This window comes from Homo sapiens, chromosome 4, assembly GCF_000001405.40.
Source record: "Homo sapiens chromosome 4, GRCh38.p14 Primary Assembly".
In the NCBI taxonomy this organism is placed as follows: domain Eukaryota; kingdom Metazoa; phylum Chordata; class Mammalia; order Primates; family Hominidae; genus Homo; species Homo sapiens.
In genome coordinates this window covers 186311920-186339283 of record NC_000004.12, presented here as the reverse complement: position 1 = coordinate 186339283, position 27364 = coordinate 186311920, and the positions used below count along the sequence as shown (strand labels likewise).

General features: G+C 39.6%; 1 long non-coding RNA gene and 1 pseudogene across 1 annotated transcript in view, besides 1 other annotated feature; both read left to right on the top strand.

Annotated features, from left to right (window-relative positions):
- F11-AS1 (F11 antisense RNA 1) overlaps nt 1-27364 on the top strand; it is a 214961-nt gene that overhangs the window by 161775 nt on the left and 25822 nt on the right. The gene's annotated exons all lie outside the window — the stretch shown is intronic.
- Nucleotides 9608-10829, top strand: SLC25A5P6 (solute carrier family 25 member 5 pseudogene 6; annotated as a pseudogene).
- Nucleotides 14452-14953: an enhancer, noted in NCBI's record as "H3K4me1 hESC enhancer chr4:187245485-187245986 (GRCh37/hg19 assembly coordinates)". NCBI's record gives its function as "activates a minimal SCP1, AML or CMV promoter by ChIP-STARR-seq in naive H9 embryonic stem cells {active_cell/tissue: H9 hESC(naive)}" and the evidence as "EXISTENCE:reporter gene assay evidence [ECO:0000049][PMID:30033119]".

Sequence of the window (27364 nt, the reverse complement as noted above, 5' to 3'; positions counted from 1 at the left end):
TTTCCAACACCAGGATATCCCCAAAACATGTTTCCAACACCATACAATTGCACTGACAAGAACTTCAAGTCACATTGTTCATTTCTCACTCATATGTGATCAGATAACCCAAGATTACTGACATCTGAAGAAGGCCTTTAACAGCAAAGATAAACACCAAACAAAGCAAATTAACAGCTAAAAAGAAACCTGGGATAAAAAGTAACAGAAATTATGCAGAAAAAAAGTAAATCTAAATAATAAACTATTCTAAAAATACGTTGTTATTTATATATTTGTAGTGATAAGATGTTGCATTCATGAATCAAGAGCAGAATGAGATGAAAAGGAGGAAATGTGGAAATTAAAAAGATCTCTTAGAACTTAAGATTATGGCATAAATAAAAGTACAATAGGCTTGAAAAGTAAAATTGATTAAAAAAAGTCTCATTAAATAGAGTAGAAAGAATAATAATAAGAAACAGAAGTGATATAAAAATTAAAGGGTCAGAGCAGAAGATATATCATCTGAATAAGAGGAATTCCAAAAGATGACAGAAAAGTTAAAAGGCAGTTCCATTTACAATAACTACAAAACATAAAATAAAATACCTAGAAATAAATTTAACCAAGGTGGTGAAAGAGCTTTACAAGGAAAACTATAAAACAGTGATCAAAAAAATTGAAGAGGTATAATGGAAAGACATCCATGTTCATGAATAGAAAGAATTCATATTGTTAAAATGACCACATTACCCAAAGCAATCAATAGATTTAATGCAATCCCTATCAAAATGCCAATGACCTTCTTCACAGAAATGGAAAAAACAATCCTAAAATTCATATGGAGCTACAAAAGACCCAGAATAGCCAAGGCAATCCTGAGTGAAAAGAAGAACGCTGGAGGCTTCACACTACCTGACTTCAAAATATACTACAGAGCATTCATAACCAAAACAACATGGTATTAACATAAAAACACACACGTAGGCCAATGGAACAGAATAGAGAACCTAGACATGAACCCACACATTGACAGCCAACTGATTTTTGACAAAGGTGCCAAGAACACACACTGGGGAAAGAGCAGTATCTTTAATAAAAGGGTATCTTTTATCCTTTTATTAGATATCCACAAGAAGAAGAATGAAATAGACCCCTTATCTCTCACAATTTACAAAAGTCAACTCAAAATGGATTAAAGAATTAAATGTGAGATTAGAAGCTATAAAACTACTCAGGAAAAAAATAGGGGAAATGCTTCATAACCTGGGTCTGGGCATGGATTATTTTGGAGAAGACCTCAAAAGCACAAGCAACCAAAACCAAAGCAAAAATAGACAAACAGGGTTATACGAAATTAAAATGCTTCTGTCCAGCAAAAGAAATAAACAACAGAGTAAAGAGAACCTACAGAATAGGAGGAAATACTTGGAAACTATGTACATAGAGAGCAGTTACTATCCAGAATATATATTTTTCTTTAATTAACAAAACTTAAAGAACCAATTCTTTAAAGTGGGTTCATATATAATCTGGATAAACATAAAAGCTTTTAAAAAACAGAAAAAGAAATAAATAGTTTCTTTAAAAATTAGAAAAACCTGTTGCTAATAGTTGTTTTTAGCCCTGGGAACATATGAGAATTAACTAGGACCGCCTAAAATTAGAGACATACATGTTTGCATCTTACGTTCCCGTGATTTTTATTTTTTATTTTTTATTTTTTATTTTTTGAGATGGTGTCCCGCTCTGTCTCCCAGGCTGGAGTGCAGCGGCGCGATCTCAGCTCACTGCAACCTCCGCCTCCCGGGTTCACGCCATTCTCTTGCCTCAGCCCTCCGAGTAGTTGGGACTACAGGCGCCCGCCACCACCCCTGGCTAATTTTTTGTATTTTTAGTAGAGACGGGGTTTCACCGTGTTAGCCAGGATGGTCTCGATCTCCTGACCTCGTGATCCGCCCGCCTCGGCCTCCCAAAGTGCTGGGATTACAGGCTTGAGCCATCGCGCCCGGCCACGTTCCCATGATTTTAATATGCAGCCAGCTTTAGAGTGGAGAAAAACACGAAGAAAAGAGGATCAAGCTCTGAATACAGGAACATGTCAGTACTTACGAGTCTGGAAGAAAAGAAAGAAACAAAATGAAGAAGAGAATCAGCCAGTGAGGTAGGGGGAAAACCAGCGGCATATGTGTTTTAAGAAACCAAGTGAAGAGAGTATTTCTAGGAATAGACATTGATTACATTTTTCAACTACTAAATAAAAATAAAGCCAGACAAAAACAGAACTGACATGGTGGTGAGCTCCTGGTGTTTCCTTTTGCCTCAGGTATTTCAGCTGTGGTATTGAAGAAGCTGGCAAACTGGACATGCGTAGGGGGGAAAAACTCGGACAAAAATGCTCTTCTAGCCAAAGAAAAACGAACAAACCAACAAGACGATATTTTGAAATGATACATGCGTACCTCGGAGATGTTGTGGGTTCAGTTCTAGACAACCACACGAAAGCAAGTATCACAATAAAGACAGTCACATACATTTCTTTGTTTCTAGTGTATTTAAAAGTTATGTTTACACAATACCATAGTCTATTAAGTGTGCAATAGCATTATGTCTAAAAAAAACTATGTACAGGCCATAATTTTAAAAACATTTTATTGCTGAAAAATGCCAATGATCATCTGAGTCCTCAGTGAGTCGTAATCTTTTTGCTGGTGGAGGGTCTTGCCTCAATGTTGATGGCTGCTGGCTGATCAGTGTGATAGTTGCTAAAGATTGGGGTGACTGTGGCAATTTTCAAAAATAAAACAGCGATGAAGTTTGCCTCACTGATTAGCTCTTCTTTTCATGAAAGATTTCTCTGTAGCATGAGTTGGTATTTATAGCTTTTTACCCAGAGTAAAGATTCTCTCAAAATTGAGTCAATCCTCGCAAACTCCGCTCCTGCTTTACCAACTAAACTTGTGCAATATTCTAAATTCCTTGTTGTCATTTCAACAATGTTCACAGCATCTTCACCAGGAGTAACTTCCATCTCAAGAAACCACTTTCTTTGTTCATGTGTAAGAAGCAAGTTCTCATTCGTTCAAGATTTATCATGAGATTGCAGCAATTCAGTCAGAACTTCAGGCTGCACTTCTAACTCTAGTTCTCTTGCTATTTCTACCACATCTGCAGTGACGTCCTGCACTGAAGTCTTAAACCCCTCAAAGTCATTCATGAAGATTGGAATCAACTTCTTTCAAATTTTCATTAGTGTTTATATTCTGACCTCCTTCCAAGAATCATAAGTGCTTTTAATGGCATTAAAAGGAATGGTGAATCCTTCCCAGAAATTGTTAAATTTAATTTTCCCTAATCTATCAGAAGAATCACTGTCTATGGTAGCTACAGCCTAACAAGATAGATTTCTTAAATAATAAGACTTGAAAGGTGAAATTACTCCTTCATCAGGGTGCATAATGGATGTTGTGTTAGCAGTAAAACAACATTAATCTTTTTGTATGTCTCCACCAGAGCTTTTGAGTGACCATTGCATTGTCAAAGAGCGCAAATATTACAAAAATAATCTTGGGTTTTTTCTGAGCAATAGTTCTCAAAAGGGGGCTTAAAATATTCAGTAAACCATGCTGTAAAAAGATGTGCTGTTATGCAGGCTGTAATCCATATCTAGAGCGCAAGCAGAGTAGAGTCAGCATAATTCTTAAGGATTTTTGGAATGGTTAAATGAGCATTGGCTTCAACTTAAAGTCACCAGCCACATTAGCCTGTAACAAGAGTTACATGTCCTTTGAAGTTCATGTCTTTGAAGTCAGTCATTGACTTCTCTCCAGCTATGAAAGTCCTGATGGCATCTTCCTCCAGTAGAAGTCTGTTTCATCAACCCTAAATATATGTTGTTTAGTGTGGCCACCTTAATCAAGTATCTTAACTAGATCTTCTGGATAACTTGCTGCAGCTTCACCATCAGCACTTGCAGCTTTACCTGCACTTTTACGTTATGGAGATCACTTCTTTCCTTAAACCTCATGATCCAACCTCTGCTAACTTCAAATTTTTCTTCTGCAGCTTCCTCAGCTCTCTCTCAGCCTTCACAGAATCAAAGAGAGTTACAGCCTTTCTCTGGATTAGGCTTTGGCTTAAGGGAATGTTGTGGCTGGTTTGATCTTTTATCCAGACTGTTTTATCATTCATGTGTTCACTGGAATAGCACTTTCATTTCTGTCAAGAACTTTTCCTTTGCATTCACAACTTGGCTGACTGTTTGGTGCAAGTGACCTAGCGTTAAGCCAATGTCAGCTTTTGACATGCCGTCCTCAGTAAGCTTAATTATTTCTTGCTTTTGATTTAAAGTGAGAGATGTGTGACTCTTTCTTTCGCTTGAACATTTAGAGGTCACTGTAAGATTATTAACAGGAAATAGGAAGGCCTGAGAAAAGGGAGAGAGATGGGAGAAGGGCTGGTCAGTGGAGATGTCAGAAGATGCACAACATTTATCTATTAATTTTGCTGTCTTATATGGGCATGGTTCATGTTGCTCCCAAACAATTACAATAGTATCATCAAAAATCACTGACAACAGATCAACATAACAGTTATAATATTAATCAAAGGGTTTGAAATACTGCAAGAATTACCCAAATGTAACAAAGACACAAAGTGAGCACATGCTGTTGGAAAATAGTGCTGATGGACTTGCTCAACCTAGGACTGCCACAAACCTTCAATTTGTAAAAATAAAAAAAAAAATCTGCAAAGTGCAATAAGACAAAGCACTGAAAGCACTTTGATAAAATGAGGTGAGCCTCTAAAGCCTCAACTCAAAGCAGACATCACAGAAAAAAAAATTGGCCTTATCCCCACCTAGGCCAGCAAAGGCTGCTTAGGGGCACCTAGGCTTCCACCTTTGTGAAACTGCACCAAGGTACAACAGAATGCCAGGGTGGCATCAGAGAAGGCCAAGTAGGGAGCTAAGACTTTCATAATAACTAGTCAGTAACAGCAGTGTTACCTCATTCCACCCTTCCTCCCAGTGTCAATGGAGACCATGCAAGCAAACTGACTTCCACCCGTACTCGGCAATCATAAGATTCCTCACTCCCCTAAGAACCCCCACACTTGGGTGGCATCAGAGGAAGACTAGTGGAAAGTCAGGACTTTACCCATCATCCCAGTGTAATGAGATCACTGTGATGTCAGTGGAGATCAGGCATAGAGCTAGAACTTCTAGCCCCACTCAGAATTACAAGAAACCACCTCTCAGATGCCAGTGAAGACCAAGTGAGGAACCTGGGACTTCTACCTCCACTTGGCAGTAACTAGACAGCACCCTCCACATTTTTTTCTGCCGGAATAGTGTCAGGAAAAGCCAGTTAAGACAGAAGGCTTAAACAAAATCCAGAAGCTCATAGCATAATACAAAAATGTCCACATTTTAATTGAAAGTAACTTGTCATGTGAAGGACTAGGGGGATCTCAAACTAAATGAAAAAAGAGACCCTATAGATGCCAACACCAAGGTGACAGAGATGTTAAAATTATCTGACAAAAATTTTAATGCAGCATGATAAATATACTTCAACAAGCAATTGCAAACACACTTGAAATAAAATAGAGGTATTTAGCAAAATTATAAAATCTTAGCAAATAAGTTGAAGATATAAAGAAGCATCAAATGAGAATATTAGAACTGAAAAATACAATAACCAAAATATGAAGCTCAGTGGATGCGCCCAGTAGCAGAATGGAGGGAACAGAGAAAATACATCAGTAAACTGGTAAATAAGATGATAGAAATTACTCAATCTGAACAACAGGGAGAAAGTGACTGAAAAGAAAATGCAAACAGCCTCCAAGAGAGGCCTGTAACAAAAGAACTAACATAATTGTTATTTGAGTCATAGAAGAGAGGAGAAATAGGGAAGAGCTGAAAAATATTTGAAGAAATAGTGGCGAAAAGCTTTCTAAATTTTGCAAAAGACATAAAGCTATCAGTTCAAGAAGATGAAAAAACCCTAAACAAATCCACACCAAGTCAAACTGTAATTAAAATTTTAAAATATGAAGAAAAGGAGACATCTAAAAAGCAGTCAGAGAAAAACAACACATTACTTATAGGGAAATTATCACATTAAAAAGGTTTCTTATCAGAAACCATAGAAGGCAGAAAGAAGTGGCATAATATTTTTCAACTGCTGGAAGAAGAGAATTGTCAACCCAGAATCTTATACCCAATCAAAATATCCTTCAGCAATAAACTGAAATCAAGACAATCTCAGGTAAATTAAAATAAAAAGAATTTGTTGCTAGTATATCAATTTTTAAAGAACAGCTAAAAGAACTTCTCTTAGACAAAAGGAAAAGCCAAAAAAAGCCAAAACAAAACAACAAAAAAAGACCATGGAACATCAGAAAGGAAAAAAGGACACTGGAAGCAAATATATGGGGAAATACAATAGGCTTTCCTTCTACTCTTGAGTTGCCTAAATTATGTTTGACAGCTGAAACAAAAATTATAGAACTGGCTGGGCATGGTGACTCACGCCTGTAATCCCAGCACTTTGGGAGGCCAAGGTGGGCAGGTCACCTGAGGTCAGGAGTTTGAAACGACCAGCCTGGCCAACATGGCATAACTCTGTCTCTACTAAAAATACAAAAATTAGTTTGGTATGGTGGCACATGCCTTTAACCCTAGCTACTCAGGAGGCTGAAGTAGGACAATCACTTGAACCCAGTAGGGGGAGGTTGCAGTGAGCCAAGATTGTGCCACTGCACTCCAGCCTGGGAGACAGAGTGAGACTCCATCTCAATAACAACAAAAAAATATAGAACTACTTTGATATGGCTCTAAATATACATAGAGAAAATGTTTAAAACTGTATTAAAAAACCAGGGGAGGCCGGGCACGGTGGCTCACACCAGTAATCCCAGCACTTTGGGAGGCCAAGGTGGGTGGATCATGAGGTCAAGAGTTTAAGACCAGCCTAACTAATATGGTAAAACCCCATCTCTACTAAAAATACAAAAATTAGCCGGGCATAGTGGTGTGCACCTGTAGTCCCGGCTACTCAGGAGGCTGAGGCAGGAGAATTGCTTAAACCCAGGAGGTAGAGGTTGCAGTGAGCCGAGACTGCACCACTACACACTAGCCTGGGTGACAGAGTGAGACTGCATCCCAAAAAATAAGTATAAATAATAAACAAAAATAAAAAATTGGGGGAATACAGGGACATAAAGGAAGATAAGGTTTTTATACTTCGCTCAAACTGATGAAATAATCACATCAGTAGATTCTAATGTTATGTATATATTGTAATACCTAAAACAACCACTAAATAGGCTATACAAAGAGAAACACTAAAAAAAATAGATAAATCAAAATGGAATTCTAAAAAATGTTCAAACACTCACAAAAAATCATGAAAAAGCAGAGTGCGAAACAAAACAAAACATAAAAACAGAACAAGGGGAAAACAAAATATAAACTGGCAGTTTTAAACCCTAACATATCAATCATGACATTAAATATAAATGATCTAAATACAACAATTAAAATATAGAGATTGGTAGCATATATTAAGAAACATGGCCCAAATACATGTGTTCTTCAAGAAACTCATTTCAAATATGGTACAAGCAGGTTGAAAGTAAAAGGATGGAGAAAGATATATCAAACAAACATTAATCAAAGGGAAAAAAGGATTGGCTATACTAATATTAGATGAAACAAACCTCAGAGCAAAGAAAATTACCAGAGACAAAGAAGGACATTTTATAATGATAAATTATAAATGTCTTTCAGCAAGAAGATACAGCAATACTAACTTTGAATGCACCAAACAATAAAGCTGTAAAATGTGTGATGCAAAAACTGACAGAACTGAAAGAAGAAATAGAAGTATCCACAATTCTAGCTGGAGACTTCAATTCCCTTCTCTCAACAGTTGGGAGAACAACTAGACAGAAAATCAGTGGGAATATAAAAGAATTTAACCATATCACCAACCAACAGGGTCTAATTTACATGTGTAGAACACTGCACCCAATGACAGCAGTATAAACATTCTTCCCAAGAGACCATGGAGCATACACAAGGATAGACCATATCTTTGGCCATAAGAAAAAACTCAACAAATTTTAAATAATTTGGATTATGCAGAGGATGTTCTCTGACCACAATGCAATCACTAGAAATAAAAAACAGAGAGATAAAGGAAGCTGTCCAAACACTTGGAAACGAAACAATACACTTCTAAATAATTTGTGGGTTAAAGAGAAAGTCTTATAGCAAAATTTAAAAATAGATAGAACTAAATGAAAATACAACAGACCAAAATTTGTGGGACATTGCTAAAGGAATGCTGAGAAAAAAAAAATTTAACATTACTTTCAATGGCAAAAACCACAAATATTTTTGTGCCAACCTAATAATATTAATATATTAGTAAAGAGAAAAAGTCTCAAATTAGTAAAGCAAGCTGAAGGAATCAAATAATAAAAAGAAAAATCAGTAAAATTGAAAACATAAAAAAATGGAGAAATTAATCAAAGAACTGGTTATTTGAAAAGACCAACACAACCGATAAACCTCCAGCAAAATAGACAAAGACAAAAAGAGAGGGGAGGCAAAATATTACTATTAAGAAGGAAACATGTACTACCACTACAGACTCTTGAGACATCAAAAAGATAATAAAAGGCCATTACAAATAGCTCTATTTACATAAATTTGACAACGTAGACAAAAATGGACTAATTCCACAAAAAAAAACCCACACGACCCCAACACCCAATATAAAACAAAATGCAACTATTAAGAAAATTGAATTCATACTTTTAAAAAATTACAAAAAAGAAATTCCCAGGCACAGAGGGTTGCACTGGAAAATTCTATCAAACATTAAAAGAGAATTACCAAAAATTCTACACAATCTTTTTCAGCAAATAAGACAAGAAGGAATACTTTTCCATTTATTTTATGAAATGAGTATTACTGTGATACCAAAACCAGATGAAGACAGAGAAAAAAGAAAACTACAGATGAATATTCCTCATAAGTATACAAGCAAAAATCCTTAACAAAATATTAGCAATTAGAATTCAACAATATAGGGAACAGGCCGGGTGCTGTGGCTCACGCCTGTAATCCCAACACTTCGGGAGGTGGAGGCGAGCAGATCACTTGAGGTCAGGTGTTCGAGACCAGCCCGGCCAACATGGTGAAACCCTGTCTCTATTAAAAATAAAAATAAAAATAAATTAGCGGGGTGTGCTGGTGCGGGCCTGTAATCCTAGCTACTTTGTAGGCTGAGGCAGGAGAATTGCTTGAACCCGGGAGGTGGAGGTTGCACTGAGCTGAGATCGCGCCACTGCACTCCAGCCTGGGCGACAGAGTGAGATTCTGTCTCGAAAATAAAAGAAAAAGAAAAAAATGTATATGAAACAAATTATAGGCTATTATCAAAAAGGGTTTATTCCAGGGATGCAAGGCTGGTTCAATATTCAAAAGTCAATCAGTAATTATCCACCATATTAATATAGACTAAAAAAGAAAAATAACATTACATCAAATCAAGGCAGAATAAACAGTTTATAATATTTGTATACTTATTCATAATGAAAATTTCCGCCCTGCAGCCCCAGAGTCAAAGCCGGTTCCCGCCCAGTCCCATCCCGCAGCCGCCTGCCTCCTCTTCCTTTCAACATGACAGATGCCGCTGTGTCCTTGCCAAGGACTTCCTGGCAGGTGGAGTGACCGCGGCCATCTCCAAGATGGCGGTGGCACCCACGGAGGGGTCAAGCTGCTGCTGCAGGTGCAGAGTGCCAGCAAGCAGATCACCGCAGATAAGCAATACACGGGCGTTGTAGACTGCATGGTCCGCATTCCCAAGGAGCAGGAGTCCTGTCCCTCTGGCACGGTAACCTGGCCAATGTCATCAGATACTTCCCTACCCACGCTCTCAACTTTGCCTTCAAAGATAAAAACAAGCAGATCTTCCCGGGGGGTGTGACAAGAGGATCCAGTTTTGGCACAAGTTTGCAGGGAGTCTGGCATCAGGTGGTGCCCCTGGGGCCACATCCTTATGTTTTGTATACCCTCTTGATTTTGACCGTACCCATCTAGCAGCTGATGTGGGTAAAGCTGGAGCTGAAAGGGAATTCCAAGGCCTTGGTGACCGCCTGGTTAAGATCTACAAATCTGATGGGATTAAAGGCCTGTACCAAGGCTCTAACAGGTCTGTGCAGGGTATTATCATCTACCGAGCTGCCTGCTTCGGTGTCTATGACACTGCAAGGAGAATGCTTCCAGATTCCAGGAACACTCACATGTCATCAGCCGTATGATCGCGCAGTCCGTCACTGCCGTTGCTGGGTTGACTTCCTATCCATTTGACGCTGTTCGCCACGGAATGATGATGCAGTCAGGGTGCAGCTGACATCATGTACACAGGCAGGCTTCACTGCTGGAGGAAGATTGCTCCTGATGAAGGAGGCAGAGCTTTTTTCAAGGGTGCATGGTCCAATGTTCTCAGAGGCATGGGTGGTGCGTTTGTGCTTGTCTTGTATGATGAAATCAGAAGTACACATAAGTTATTTCCTAGGATGCTTCCCCCTGTGAACAGGCATGTTGTATTATATAACATATCTTGAGCATTCTTGACAGACTCCTGACTGTCAATTTATCAGTGGCAACTGTTTCGTGGTTGAAAATGGGAGGCAATAGTATTCATCTGATCAGTTTTCTCTTAAAGCCATTTCCATGATAATGATGACAGGGCTCAATTATATTTTTTATTTCAGTCACTCCTGATAAATAACAAATTAGGAGAAATAAAAATATCTAAAATAAAAAAGAAAATTTTCAGAACATATACAGAACTTCCTTAACTTGATTAAAGGACATCTACAAAACACCTACAGTAAATATTGTAGTCAATGTTGAAAGGCTGAATTTTCCCCCAAGACGAGAAACAAAACAAGCATACCTACTCTCATCACTCTTCCTCAACACAGTACAAGAAGTTCCAGTCAGGAGAATAAGACATAAAGTAGAAAAGAAGACAAACAGATTGAAAAGGAAGCAATAAACCTGCCCTTATTTACAGGTGACGTGACTTTCTACAAAGAAAATTTCAAGTAATTTAAAAGCAAAAACAAAAAACATTACCAAAAAACCTTCATAGTTTTTGTATATGTGTTTGCAAATATTTTCTTCCATGCCATAATTTTTTTTCTCTTTTCAGGATCTTTTGCAAAGCAAAAGTTTTAGTTTTGTTGAATTGCGATTTTTCCATTTTCCTTGTATGTACTGTGCTTTTGGTATCAAGTCAAAGAACTCTTTAGGCTTAGCCCTAAATTCTGAAGATTTCCGTAATTTTCTTTTTCTAAAAATTTACACATCTACCTTTTACATATAAGTTCGTGACTCATTTTGAGTTAATTTTCTATAAGATGTGATATTTGGGTGAATAAGTGAATTCAACAAGATAAAGAATAATTTGTATTTCCATACACTGGCAATGAATACATGGACACCAAAAATTAAGATAGAAAGCACCATTTACAACCACTCAAAAAAATGAAATACTTAGGTGTAAATCTAGAAAACATTTATATGTGCTGACAACTACAGAATGCTGATGAAGAAATCAAGATCCAGATAAATGGAAAGACATTCTGTGTTCACAGACTGAAAGACTCAACAGAGTAAAGATATTTATTCTCCACAAATTGATGCGCAGGTTTGTTAAGATTCCTATCAAAAGCCCGGAGCAATTTTTATTCATACAGGTAAGATCACTGTAAAATTTCTATGAAAAAGCAAAAAACAGAAATAACAAAAACAGTTTTTAAAATGAAGAATAAAGTGAGAAGAATCAGTCTACCCAATTTCAAGACTTTATATAGCTACAGTAATCAAGGCTGTGGTATTGGCAAAGGGATAGATGTGTAAATAAGCAGAACAGAATGGTGAACTAAAAAAATAAGACCCCCATAAATATGCCCAACTGATTTTTGGAGCAATTGGATATCCGTAGGCAAAAACAATGTACCTTGATCTATTCTCACATATTATACAAAATTAATGAATCATAGACTTGAATGTAAAATGTAGATGTGCAAATTTTTAGAAAAAATAAATTAAGGAAATCTTCAAGATCTAGGACTAAGCAAAGAGTTAGACGATACCAAAAACACAGGACATGACATGAAACATTGAAAACTGAACTTCATCAAAACTAAAACTTTTGCTTGCTTTGCCAGTGATCCTGAAAAGACGGGGAAAAAGCAAATTAGAGAGTGGGAGAAAATATTTGCAAAACACATGTACGGCAAAGAAATAATATCTAGAACATAAAAGGAACTCTGAAAACCCCACAGTAAAAACCAAAAATCCAATTAGAAAATTGGCAAAAGACACAAACAGACATTTTACTGATGGCAAATAAGTATATGAAAAGATCCTCAATAAGTTAGTCATTAGAGAAGTGTAAAGTAAAATCACTTCGCATCGCTATATACCTATTAAAATGGCTACCAAAAAAAAAAAAAAAGGACACCAAAAGCTGGCAAGGATTTGGTGGGACCACTCACGCAGAGCTGGTGGGAATGTAAGCTGCTACAGCCACTCGGAAAACAGTTTGAAACGTTTGGCAGTTTCTTAAACACAGACACACACACACACACACACACACACACAATCATATGACCTAGCAATTACTGTTTTGGGCACTGATCCCAGAGAGATGAAGACTGTTTATACAGCAACCTATACAAGGATGTTTATAGCAACTTGATTCATAAGAGACAAAAACTGGAAATAACCCAGTTGTCCTTCAGCAAGTGAATGGTTAAACTGTGTTACATCCATATCACAGAACACTATCCAGCAATCAAAAGGAATGAACCACCAATACATTAAAGAACCTGGCTGAATCTTCAGGGAACCACGAGTGAGGGAGGGGGACGCCAATCCCAAAAGGTTCCCGTGCTAGATGATTCCATTTACATAACATTCTTGAAATGACAAAATAATAGAAAAGCAGGCTAGATTAATGGTTGTCAGGGTTCGGGAGGGGTGGGGGCAGGTGGACAGTGGGGTAGGCTATAACCGGGCCACATGAGAGATGCTTGTGGTCTTGGGAATGTTGTGTCTCCACTGCATCCATGTTAGTATCCTGGTTGTGCTATTCTACTGTAGCTTTGCCCAGTGTTACCACTGGGGAAAACTTACCAGAGTACCTGGGATCTCCCTGTATTGTTTCTTAAAACTACATGTGAACTTACCAATATCTCAAAACAAAAAGTTTAATTAAACAACAGTAAAGTTGGGCAAAACATTTTTCTCTTCACCATCTTCAAGCTCTTCAATTTATTCAAAGACCTTTTCAAAGTCAGATCAAATACAGATGGGAAATAGACAATGGGGAATGAGACTCTGGACACTTTGGAAAATACTTTAAAAATTTTCAACCAACATTTTATTTCTTGCTCAGGACTAATTTATGTTTTATTTTTTAAGAGACAGGTTCTTGTTCCCTCACCCCGGCTGGAGAGCTGTGATGCGATCGCAGCTTATGGCAGCCTCGATCTCCTGGGCTCAGGCAGTGTTTCCTCAGCCTCTTGAAGTGCTGGGATTACAGGCGTGAGCCACCATGCTGTGTCCGGAATTGGTGGGTTCTTGGTCTCACTGACTTCAAGAATGAAGCCGCGGACCCTCGCGGTGAGTGTTAAAGCTCTTAAGGTGGCGCGTCTGGAGTCTGTTCCTTCTGATATTCGGATGTGTTCGGAGTTTCTTCCTTCTGGTGGGTTCGTGGTCTCACTGGCTCAGGAGAGAAGCTGCAGACCTTCGCGGTGAGTGTTACAGCTCATAAAAGCAGCGTGGACCCAAAGAGTGAGCAGCAGCAAGATTTATTGCAAAGAATGAAAGAACAAAGCTTCCACACTGTGGAAGGGGACCCCAGCGGGTTGCCACTGCTGGCTCCGCAGCCTGCTTTTATTCTCTTATCCGGCCCCACCCACATCCTGCTGATTGGTAGAGCTGAATGGTCTGTTTTGACGGCGCTGATTGGTGCGTTTACAATCCCTGCGCTAGATACAAAGGTTCTCCACGTCCCCACCAGATTAGTTAGATACAGAGTGTGGACACACAGGTTCTCCAAGGCCCCACCAGAGTAGCTAGATACAGAGTGTTGACTGGTGCATTCACAAACCCTGAGCTAGACACAGGGTGCCGATTGGTGTATTTACAATCCCTGAGCTAGACATAAACGTTCTCCACGTCCCCACCAGACTCAGGAGCCCAGCTGGCTTCACCCAGTCCCGCGCCGTGCGCCCGCACTCCTCAGCCCTTGGGTGGTCGATGGGACTGGGCGCCGTGGAGCAGGGGGCGGCGCTCATCGGAGAGGCTCGGGCCGCACAGGAGCCCGTGAAGCGGGTGGGAGGCTCAGGCATGGCGGGCTGCAGGTCCCGAGCCCTGCCCGGCGGGAAGGCAGCTAAGGCCCGGTGAGAAATCAAGCGCAGCGCCGGTGGGCCGGCACTGCTGGGGGACCCAGTACACCCTCCGCAGCCACTGGCCTGGATGCTAAGCCCCTCATTGCCCGGGGCCGGCAGGGCCGGCCGGCTGCTCCGAGTGTGGGGCCGCCAAGCCCACGCCCACCCGGAACTCCAGCTGGCCCGCAAGCGCCGCACGCAGCCCCGGTTCCCGCTCGCGCCTCTCCCTCCACACCTCCCCGCAAGCTGAGGGAGCGGGCTCCGGCCTTGGCCAGCCCAGAAAGGGGCTCCCACAGTGCAGCGGTGGGCTGAAGGGCTCCTCAAGTGCCGCCAAAGTGGGAGCCCAGGCAGAGGAGGCGCCAGGAGCGAGCCAGGGCTGTGAGGACTGCCAGCACGCTGTCACCTCTCAATGCCAGGCTACTTTTTTTATTTTTTGTAGAGACAGGGTCTTGCTATGTTGCCCAGGCTGGTCCTCCTGCCTCAGCCTCCTGCATATGACTTATTTGTCTTTGCAAAGTATAACTACCACCACTTGACTGACTTTTAGGAGTGCTGTGCTGTGCTAAGCACTTCATAATTTATCTCAGTCAATCCTGTGCTATGTCTGAGATAAGTAATTGTGCCTAATTTGCAAAGAAGAAATGATTCTCTCAAAGGAAAGTGATTGTTAACCAAAAACTGGAGAGTGATGAGTCCAGAATGTAAACTCATGCTTTTCTCATTGCAATTTCACTACATCATGCTGTTCCCTCTGTATGACATGTTGATGTTGTGCTCCTCCTGGAAAACTCCTATCTGGCTCAACTGTAATTACTCCTGTTAATTCTTTCCTAACTGAGGCAGAAGTAATCACTCTTGGTTACTGTCCTGATTCTTTGTATGTACATATTTCAAAGCACTTTTTACCCTCCTGCAACTGTTTATCTAATTCTTTGTTTTGTTTTTGTTTTTGTTTTTGGAGACAGAGTCTTGCCCTGTTGCCCAGGCTGGAGTGCAGTGGTGCAGTCTTGGCTCACTGAAACCTCCACCCGCCACGTTCAAGTAATTGTCTTGCCTCAGCCTCCCAAGTATCTCGGATTACAGGTGCCCACCACCACACCTGGCTAATTTTTGTATTTTAGTAGAGACGGGGTTTCACTATGTTGGTCAGGCTGGTCTCGAACTCCTGACCTTGTGATCCCCCTGCTTCGGCCTCCCAAAGTGTTGAGATTACAGGCGTGAGTCACTGTGCCCAGCCTGTTTATCTAATTCGTATAGGAGAATCAGAGTTCCTGTAGGGCTGGTACCTAGTCCCTTTCTTTTAGTTGTGTTGCTGAACATTACAGCATAGTATACATTTGTAAGTTCACAAGAAATGTTTGTTATTTGAAAAAGAGTAAATGGTGAAAACTTTTTCACAAACCAGATAGAATGGAATCCAGATTCTACGTGCATGAAATATAAAATCAGGGCAAACACAAGCCTGCGTGTTCATTAGGCTGCGTCTATGTATTTCCTATGAGTGATACTCCCCCAGATAAACTTTGGATATTTCCACTTATTTGATGGACTCTGAGTGTGTGTGTGTGAATGTATGTGTGTGTTAATGTAAACCAAGCTACAAATTAGTAGATAGAACCATGTTATTTTTTATTTGAAACATCATAAATAGCCAAGCTTACGCAGAAAGGGGATAAGTTGTATCCTTTACTCCCAGCCCCCTCTGAAGAGTTCGGTACAGCAAACATGTACCAGGCTAGCTGGTTGACATAGTGATGCACGAGGCACAGTTCTCACATTCAAGAGTGGTGAGTGACAGGAGCCCTTGGAAACATGCTTGAGAGTCATGCCCAGATATTCAAGTCCACATCAATAAGGGTGAGCAGACGGCTTGGAAAGGTGGGAGCACGATCACAAACTGCAGCTTGGCCAGTCCAAGCTGGGCACACCTGCCGCATGCAGGCCTCACTGGAATTCAATAATGATAAGCAAGGCAATCCTTCCAGTGAACGCAAGTAAGCATATACATAAATAGGAATCGTGTGACTGTATATGGTGCCTACATGTGGTAAGCATTCCATAGTATTGCTGTTGCATTGAGATATTTCCATTGTGCCATTCTGAGTGGTAGATGTGTAGAAAACTTGGGGGGCAGTGGCATTGCAAGGGGTGGCTTAATCACTGCCTATCTTAAATAAAGATCTTTCTTTTTTAAGACTGTGATTATCTCTAAATGAAAGGGAACGCTTCTCAGCTACCCTTCATCACACTCAGCATTGCAAAATTTGTTGTTGTTGTTAGGAATTGGGAGCCGTGAATAATGCCAAGTGCCTACCTAAGAGCCAGTCTGGAGATGTTTATTTTTGGCAGAAGTTCAGGCTGGATATTCTAAAGAGTCCTTTCCCTGAAAAACATCTACGTCCTCCATACAACATGTTTTTTTTTTCTTTTGTGCATTTCTGAGCTCACCGGAAATCAGAGAAATATCAAAAGGGGCAATTACAAAATAAAGAAAATAAATTTTTATTGTAATAACTTGAATTAAAATCAGGGCCCTAAGTACTAAGTATTAGTCACATAAACTATTATTCAGTAGGTATTATTCACATAAAAGTATCTATCAATCACTAGGTATTATTCACAGAAAAGTATCATTCACTAGGTATTATTCACATAAAATATCATTCACTAGGTATTATTCACAGGAAAGCTTGGTTTCTCTGAGGGCCATATGCCAGCAGCAATCCAGAGGCAGCAGGGCCGTGGGCAGGGGAGGGGGACCCCACAAAGGCGCTGAAGTGGCTCTAGCTCAGACGTGCTCCCTGGCTCCCAGCAGAAGAAAATTCAATTCCTCTCTGCAGAAAAGTATTTTTAACCGCTTAGTGTCTTTAGACATTCTATTAAGACAAGTATTTTTGCCATTAAAATGATTGAATCTATAGTCAAAATTGTTTGTACAGAGAAATCAGCAGGCCCGGGTGGCTTTACAAGTAAAACATATTAAAAAAAACAAGACATCCAGAAATACAATTAGTGAGAGATGTTTGAAACCACTATGGAGAACAAAAAAAAAAAAAAAAACTATACTGAAAGATAATGATAAAGACAAAAGAAATGAAAAGATTCTGTAATATGTTCATGGATGGAAAGAATCAATATTACCAAGTTTGCGACAGTACAATCAATAGTATAGGCTAGACTCAATCCAATTCCAGTCAAACCCCCATAGATTCTTTTCTTTCTTCTGCCACTTTTGACAAACATGACAAAAATATGATTCTAAAGTTAACATGGAATAACAAACATATAATAGACAGGACTCTGTTGAGACTCTGAGAGCAGTTCTTGGCGGATATCAACACAGGCTGTAAAGCAATGTTAGTTAAGGCACGGGCAGTAGGATCCACAAACTGAACAGAGGAACGAAATCACAAGTCGAGAAATAGACCCTCACAGATAGAGAAAACTGAAATAAGACAGCAGTGGTGACATTGCCTGTAACTGAGGAAAAGATCAGGTTTCCAAAAGATCAGGTGGGGACAGTTGGTCATCCATGTGAGGAAAAGCTGGATCCCTACTATTACCATACACTAAAGTAAATTCCTGATGGGTTAAAGACTTAAATGGAAAACAAAACCCTCTTTACATGTTTTAGAAAAACAATTTTATAAACTTAATAGTGAAGAAGGATTTTTCATATGACCTAAAAGTATTAACCATAAAAGACTGTTCACTATATGAAATATTTGAGTACATGAAAATGCTTTAGGCCGGGTGCAGTGGCTCACGCCTGTAATCCCAGCACTTTGGGAGGCCGAGATTAGTGGATCACCTGAGGTCAGGAGTTCCAGACCAGCCTGGGCAACATGGCAAAACCACGTCTCTACTAAAGATACAAAAATTAGCTGGGCGTGGTGGTGGGCGCCTGTAGTCCCAGTTACTCGGGAGGCTGAGGCAGGAGAATCGCTTGAACCTGGGAGGCGGAGGTTGCAGTGAGCCAAGATCGCGCCACTGCGCTCCAGCCTGGTGACGAGAGCAAGACTCTATCTCAAAAAAAAAAAAAAAAAAAGGAAAAGAAAATAGAAAGGAGATGAAAAGGAAAGCCATAAACTGGGAGAGGATACATACATACACTACATTTGACCAAAAAATCCCTACCTAGCAAAGAAAACAAAAAACAATGGGCAAAAGACATGAAGAATTATTTCAGAGAAGAAAGCCCAAATTACAAATAACCACAAAAAGTAATTTACCCTCATTAGCTTCTCAGGAAATACGTCCTGAGATCTCAATGACGTATTATTTTATCAACAGTAGACTGGAAAAAACTAAGATCTGATAACTCAAATTGTCACAACAGCTTTGGAAACCAGTATGGCAGCATTTCATGAGTTTGAATACTTGTCTCGTCCTTAACCCACCAATTTCATACCCAGTTGTAAATACTTACATGGGTGCACAGGAGACAAACATGAAAATTCCATTTATCGTTGTTCACAACAGAAAAAAGTTCTCAACAACCCAAATGTCCACTGATGCAAAACAAATGCATAAATATTTTGTGCTATTTCACATGATGGAATATGATTTAGCAGAACATGGATAAACTGTTACAGAAAATAAAATATCTTAAAAATCAAATATTGAATGAAAAGAGCAATTTGCTGAAGACAGCATACAGCCTGGAAAAATATTTAGTGTAACTTAAAAACAAACAAAGCTAAACAACATAATGTTAGAGATACAGATAATGTTGGGCTAGCTTTTAAAAAATAAACATTTTTAAAAGAGATAATGATAAGCATTACCTCTGGGGGAAAGACAAAGTAATAATATGAAGAAGACACACAGGTAGCTTCAAGGTATTTTGAGAGGATGAGTTCACAGGTGTTTATTTTATTATTGTGCTTCATAATAGGTAACATATAGCTTACTTATGTTCTTTTGCCTATATCAAATATTATAAAATACTTTTAAAGAATTATTATTAAGACATTATTTCTTTAGCCAAACAAATGACTTTGAATCAAGCATATTAAGTAGCTTCTGTAACACCTTATTTCCAAATAGCAACAGCAAATGAGGCCGCACCAGATAAAGAAGCCAGGAGACTTGTGTCAAAACCCACTTCACACACGGATTGGCTCTGTGAATGTAGGTGAGTCATGCAACTTCTCTGAACCCCAGTTTGCCATCTATAACATGAAGATTAAAATAAAATTCTGTCCTGTCAACTTTATAAGCCTATTACAAAGAGGTAATATAATAGTGATTTGAAAATTGTTTAGTGTGAAGGTGCTATTATGTTAGTAAGTAAATGTCATCGCCCACGTGTTGTAAAATTTTGATATGCAGCGTTGTAGACATAGAACAGCAAATGGGAGCAACTTCTACAAAGAGTGGCAGCTGGAAACATTTTCTCCCAAAAAGGCGCTGACTGATGACCGTGGAGCATTGAGGAGGGACTCCGGAAAGAAAAACCAAATTATCTTGGTTTCAATGCAAATGTGGGGTCTTTAGGATTTTGAAACCGTTACTGTGACTAATAATAACAGTGGCAGCATATATAATAAAATGAGTCCTGAAGTGAGGTTTAGAGCCACAGCTTGAACTCAACTTTATCACTGATTAGCTTTGTGACCAGGGAAACTCAATCTTTGAGCACCTCTTACTCCACATCTGTAAAGTGCGGCTGATTTTATGAGCACTGATGTTTTCTCCAATGCTGATACTATATAATTCCAAGGCTCTGTAGAAATTTGTTTGACAATGAGCTGAAATGTGCAGTAAAAAAAAAAGACGATCCTCACAAACAACGTCTTGAATGTTTGGCTTTTACAATCTCCTAAGTGGTTTTACATGTCACCTTCTTTCAGACGATCCCAAAATTCCAGCACATTACAGAACGTACTATTTGATCATCCTTATAATGCCGTGTTTCTTTTCAAAACCAATACTGAATACTGAATTCATCCATCAGTCTGTGCTTGGATACTTGAGCGACATGAAACTATTTCAGAAGAGAGCCGAGTCCCATTGTGAGTGGTTCTTACTAGTAGAAATTATCTTATGAGAACTCTATCTAATGTTATAACCATCTGGAGGCACTTGGCCATCTGCTCCCCATAGATTTTCATCTGCCCTTTCAAACCAGCCCTATGGCCAGGCACTGTTCCTGCTATTTTCCACACGTCATTTGTCCCAGCTCACTCAAGCAGTCTGGACCCGGAGTTCAGGCTTACCCATCACGTTTTGTGTAGTAGGACTTATTTCCAAATCGGTGTACACTTTTAAAAATTAGTAGACTTTATTTTATAGAGCAGTTTTAGATTTGCAGAAAAATTAAGCATAAAATACAGAGGGTTCTTATGTATTCTTCTCCTACCCTTCCAGGTTCTCCTAACATCTTGCATTAGCGGAGGACATTTGTTAAAACTGATGAACATATTGTTACATGATTCTTAGCTAAAATCTGTAGTTTACATTAGGGCTAACTCTTGGTTACATGTAGATGTTATGGGTTTTGACAAATGTATAATGACATACAACCGTCATTATAGCATCATGCTGAATAATTTCACAGCCCTAAAAACCTCGTGTTCCACCCATCCATCCTTTCCTTCCACCTCACAAATCCTAGACAATCACTGATTTTTTTTTTTTTAGACGGAGTTTCACTCTTGTTGCCCAGGCTGGAGTGCAATAGCACGATCTCAGCTCACCACAACCTCTGCCTCCTGAGTTCAAGCGATTCTCCTGCCTCAGCCTCCCGAGTAGCTGTGATTACAGGCATGCATCACCACATCCAGCTGATTTTTTTGTATTTTTAGTAGAGACAGGGTTTCTCCGTGTTGGTCAGGCTAGTCTCGAACTCCCGACCTCAGGTGATCTGCCTGCCTCAGCCTCCCAAAGTGCTGGGATTACAGGCATGAGCCACCGCGCCTGGCCACTGATTTTTTTTTTACTATTTCCATACTTTTGGTTTTTCCAGAATGTCATAGTTGGATTGACGCAGCATGCAGCCTTTTCAGATTGGCTTCTTTCTCTTTTTTTTTCTTTTTCTTTTTTTTTTTTTTTTTTTTTTTTGAGACAGAGTCTCACTCTGTCACCCAGGCTGGAGTGCAATGGTGCGATCTCGACTCACTGCAATCTCTGCCTCCCAGGTTCAAGTGTTTCCCCTGCCTCAGCCTCCTGGGTACCTGGGATTACAGGTGCATGCCACCATGCCCAGCTAATTTTTGTATTTTTAGTAGAGACGGGGTTTCACCATGTTAGCCAGGATGGTCTCTATCTCCTGACCTTGTGATCCGCCCACCTCTGCCTCCGAAAGTGCTGGGATTACAGGTGTGAGTGCCGGGCTTAGATTGGCTTCTTTCTCTTAGCAATATGCCTTTAAGATTCCCCCATGTCTTTTAATGGCTTGATAGCTTGTTTCTTTTTATTGCTAAATAATATTCCATTACAACCTTGTCCTACAGTTTGTTTATTTATTCTCCTATTGGATAACATCTTAGGTGCTTTCTAGTTTTGGCAATTATGAGTAAAGCATATACAATCTACATTCAGGCTTTTATGTGTGCATAGTTTTTCAGCCCTTTCGGATAAATACCAAGACATGCATTTTCCATGTTATATAGTAAGAGTTTATTTAGTTTTGTAAGGACAAAACAATGAATGAGAGCTCCTGTTGCTTCACATCCTCTCTAGCATTTGGTGGTGTCAGCATTTTGGATTTTAGCCATTCTAATAGGTATGTAGTGGTGTCTTATTGTTGCTTTAGTTTGCATTTCTCTAATAACATGATGTTGAGCATCTTTCCATATGCTTATTTGCTACCTGTATATCTTGGATGAGGTATCTGTTCAGATCTTTGGCTCATTTTGTAATTGGGTTGTTTGTTTTCTTATTGTTGAGTTTTAAAAGTTCTTTGTTTGTAATCCCAGCACTTTGGGAGGCCAAGGCGGGAGGATCACGAGGTCAGGGGATCGAGACCATCCTGGCTAACACAGTGAAATCCCGTCTCTACTAAAAATACAAAAAAATTAGCCCAGCATGGTGGCACATGCCTGTAGTCCCAGCTACTCAGGAGGCTGAGGCAGGAGAATCACTTGAACTGGGGAGGTGGAGGTTGTAGTGAGCTGAGATCGCACCACCGCACTCCAGCCTGGGCGACAGAGGGAGACTCTGTCTCAAAAAAAAAAAAAAAATAGAGTTCTTAGTGTATTTTGGATTCAAATCCTTTATCAAGTGTGTGTTTTTGCATGTCTGTGGCATGTCTGTTCATTCTCTTAACAGAGTTTTTTGCAGAGCAGAAGTTTTTGATTTTAATGAAGTCTGACATAATTTTTTTCTTTCATGGACCATACTTTTGGTGTTGTATCTGAACAGTCATCGTCATACCCGAGGCCACCTGGATTTTCTCCTATTATCTTCTAGGAGTTTCATAGTTTTACATTTTACATTTAGACTTTTGATTCATCTTCAGTTAATTATTTGTGAAATATGTAAGAAATATGTAAACTCTGTCTAATTCATTTCTTACGCATGCAGATATTCCAGAGCCATTTCCTGAAAAGACTATCCATTCTCCACTGAAACGTCTTTGCGCCCTTTTCAAAGATTGCTTGATGGGATCTGTGCGGGTGTGGGCTGTCTACTCCGTTCCGCTGCTCGATTTGTCTATTTCAAAGATTGCTTGATGGGATCTGTGCGGGTGTGGGCTGTCTACTCTGTTCCGCTGGTCGATTTTTCTATTCTTTCACCAATACCACATTGTCTTGATTACTATAGCTTTACGATAAGTCTTGAAGTTAGGTAATGTCAACTCTTCAACTTGGTTCTTTTCCTTTAATATTGTGTCTAGTCATCTGGATCTTTTGCCTTTCCTTGTAAATTTAGAAGATGGGTCTTGTTAAGGAGCACAAAATGCTCTGGGCATATCTCAAAACGGCTCCCTTTGGGAAGCAAGAGGGGATTTTTCTCTTTTCTCACCATGAGAACCGCAGGGCTTCTGGAGGTAAAACTCACAAAAGTGTGCCCCCACCCCAGACCAGGCCCCCTTCTGGCATTTTTAATGCTCAAGCTTATCTACAAGAGCCTTCAGAAATTTGTCAATTGCAGTCTAAGTTTTCCTACCCCAGTACTGGCTCCAGTGGCGATTGCTGCTCCTGGGCTGTGTTTGAATTAAGCTATAATTCTCTGGGTTTGTCTGTCTGCCTCTCCAATTTTAAGGCGGTGGCATGTCCAGTGACCTCAATTCTCTGACGGATCCAAGAAAAGTTGCTGGTGTCCAGTTCATTCAGCTTTGTTCCTGTTGTTAGGATGTGAGGGATGATGTCAAGCTCTTTATGTGCTGGACTGCAAATCAGAAGTTCAGAGTACACTTTTGCAAATGAGAGGCATTTCTCAATGAAATAATAAAGCTTATTTTAAAAAATAAAATAACTTTTTCTTTAAAGTATGCTTAGGTATGAACTTAGTACCATTCATATTGCTTCTTTTAATTTGCATTCATTGTTGTTTTACTTTAGTGATTATTAGAACAATGTATTGTTATTAAATAAAATATCATGTGGTATTTTTTTAAAATAGTCCATATAATTTCACCATTCATCAATAATCATTGTTAATATTTTCATGTATTTCATTCTAGTACAATCTAATTTTCCTTCCTTCCCTCTCTCCCTCCTTCTCTTACTCATTTCTTTCTTTTCACCTACCTATATATTCAAAATGCTTGTTATGGCACATATGTGTATATATATGTGTACGTGTGTATATGCACAAGTGTACAATTTAACTTTATTCTAATATGTAATAACCACATTTAATGTATAATTATATATACATATTATGCATATAAACTAAGCTAATTCTATCTATCTATCTATCTATCTATCTATCTATCTATCTATAATTTTAATCTAGTCCTAGATTTGAGTCGAAGTCTTCCTTCTCATTCACACTGATTATCTGGCAGTCAGTGCTCTTGGGATTGAAATTTCAGGCCAGCATGGCATCCCAAATTCTCTGCGTTTCCTCTAAAGATTCCAACTGTGCAAATAATTGCTGAAAGTAAAATGCTTCAAAATGTAAAAATAATGATGTAATACAGAAAAGTGACTAATTCTACCATTTTATTAAATAAATGGTATTTCATTGAGAATCAATTCTATAATTTTACTTTTACCCAAATAGCTCCAAAATATATATTTGCATATATATATAGAAAATATATATGCATCTATTATATATAATAATATATATTTATATAATTTATAATATATATTTTAATATATTTTATATAATTTATATAATATATAATATATAATTAGATGCATATATTATATATGTATAATAGATGCATATATATTATATATATATAATAGATGCATCTATTTTTATATATAATAGGTGCATCTATATTAATAGATTCATATATATAAAATAGATGCATCTATAACTTAGATGCATGTACATATGCAAATATATGCATCTATTTATTTTTGAAACAGCATCTTGCTCTGTTGCCCAAGCTGGAGTGCAGTGGTGCGATGATGATAACTCTCTGTAGCCTTGACCTCCTGGGCTCAAGCAGCTCTCTTGCCTCAGCTTCCTGAGTAGCTGAGACTACAGGTGAGTGCCACCACACCCAGCTAATTTTTTGCTTTTGTAGAGACAAGGTCTCACTATGTTGCTCAGGCTGGTCTTTAACTGGGCTCCAGCGATGCTCCTGCTTCAGCCTGCTGAAATACTGGGATTACAGGCGTGAGCCACTGCACCCAGCCTTGCATTTGTTTTACTAGAATACTTATGATTTAGTGAAATGTGACCTCTATGACTGCTATAGTAGCTGTTGAATGTGAGCCCACTCCACTCAACACAAGGATTCAGTGGATAAGAAACTCCATCTCTACCAATAAATCCCTTCACAGGTGTTGATGGTGTTATAGCTTGAATTTCTGCTGCCTCAAAAAATGGGGTAAATAGGAAAGCTAAATATCACCAATTTTGTTACAGTGTATGAGCTGAAATAACATCTTCCTTTTTTTTGATTTTCAATACGGAAGAAAAGTAAGAATCATTTCTAAAGTGCCCAGAAACACCTGAGCCTCGGTCCAGGTCCTCAATAACTCCGATGAGAGAATCCATTTCCAGCCCCTTCCCTGCAGTAGGCACAGCACAGAAACCCGACTCCTTCCGTCTGCAGGAAATAAGAGATCATAGGAACACCTTTTAAAATTGTGGCTGGCGCCTACTCTACGGAGGATCCTCAACCTCCAGACTGAAGTAAATGACAGAAGCTTTTCCAAAGAAGTCTGAATTATTTCAAAATTATAGAAGATAAATTGTGAGCATGGCGGGGAGGGAGCATGTCAGTGTGCCTATCACCTAAACTGGAGGTAACGGGCTAACGGAGAGCCCATTTGCCGGGAAGGCCAGGCGATGCCATGTGAACCACCAACGCTCAAGTCTGTGGTTAAAACCCAACGAGTTGACTTCTCACTTGTGCAAAGTCCTCTGTGTGTCTGGGCAACTTTGTAGTTGACTGACCCCCGGGTAATCCCAAGTGAGATTTCTCCCCATGAATCCAAGTGATCGTCACAACAGGAGGCAACATTTCTTGACCTTTTTATTTTTTTTAGATGGAGTTTCACTCTTGTTGCCCAGGCTGGAGTGCAATGGTGTCATCTCAGGTCACCGCAACCTCCGCCTTCTGGGTCCAAGTGATTCTCCTGCTTCAGCCTCCCGAGTAGCTGGGATTACAGGCGCACGCCACCATGCCCGGCTAATTATGTATTTTTAGTAGAGATGGGGTTTCTCCACGTTGGTCAGGATGGTCTTGAACTCGCGACCTCTGCTGATCCGCCCGTGTCGGCCTCCCAAAGTGCTGGGATTACGGCATAAGCTACCGTACCTGGCCTATTTCTACACATTTTATACCAACAAGTAAATACATGTTCCTGCCTATTAAGCTATATTTAAGCTACATTATTTTTCACCACAATTCATTCATCAGAAATAGTAGCATGGCTCTGCCTAATTGCAGCAGAATCGGGGGGTGGGAGAAGCCCAGATGGAGAGGAGGCTGAAATATGAATGAGCCTTAGAAGTCTCCGCTACTGTACATTAGCTCCAGCCCAGCCTTAATTTCCCCACTTCTGATTTTTGCCAAGCAAAGCTCCCCTGCCAGCTCTCAATTCAATCTTACGTAGTTACAATTCATAGTACCAACGGTACGTGGAAAAATTCCATTCAGTATACTCTCAAACGTGACTCTTCATCCATAAGATAAAATTAAAATTCAGCTGAGTGATTGGAGATCCCTCCGGCAGCAGGCACCGTGGCAGGGGAGTGGAGAGTATTGCTGATGGGGTCAGAGCAAGCCTGCCAGCCAGCCCTGCTCCTTATTGAGGGAGTGTCCACAGACAAGCCACCTAACCCGTCAGAGTCTCGGCTTCTTCATTCATAAAACAGGGAAAATACCATCAGCTCTTGCATGTTATTGGGAATTTTAAACGAGATCATCTTTATATAAATTAGTATAGCACCAGGCTCACAATAAAAGCATGATAAACATTGCTATTACATCATCACAATCCAGATCTAAAGCAATCCTATGACAAGTTTGGGTGATGGCAGTTTACGAATAGGGTGGTCCTGGGATATTGTCTTAGTGCCATATAAAATTGAAAAGAAGAAGGAAGAAGAAGAAGAGGAAGGAGAAGAGGAAGAAGAAGAAGGGGAAGAAGGAGAAGAGGAAGAAGAAGGAGGAGGAGGAGGAGAAAGAGGAGGAGGAGGAGGAAGGAAGGAAGGAGAGAAGGAAGGAAGGAGAGAAGGAAGGAAGGAAGGAGGCTTTTATTCACATTTAAAGAAACGGCAACACAGAAGACATTTGTTTTAGCAGTCTGAA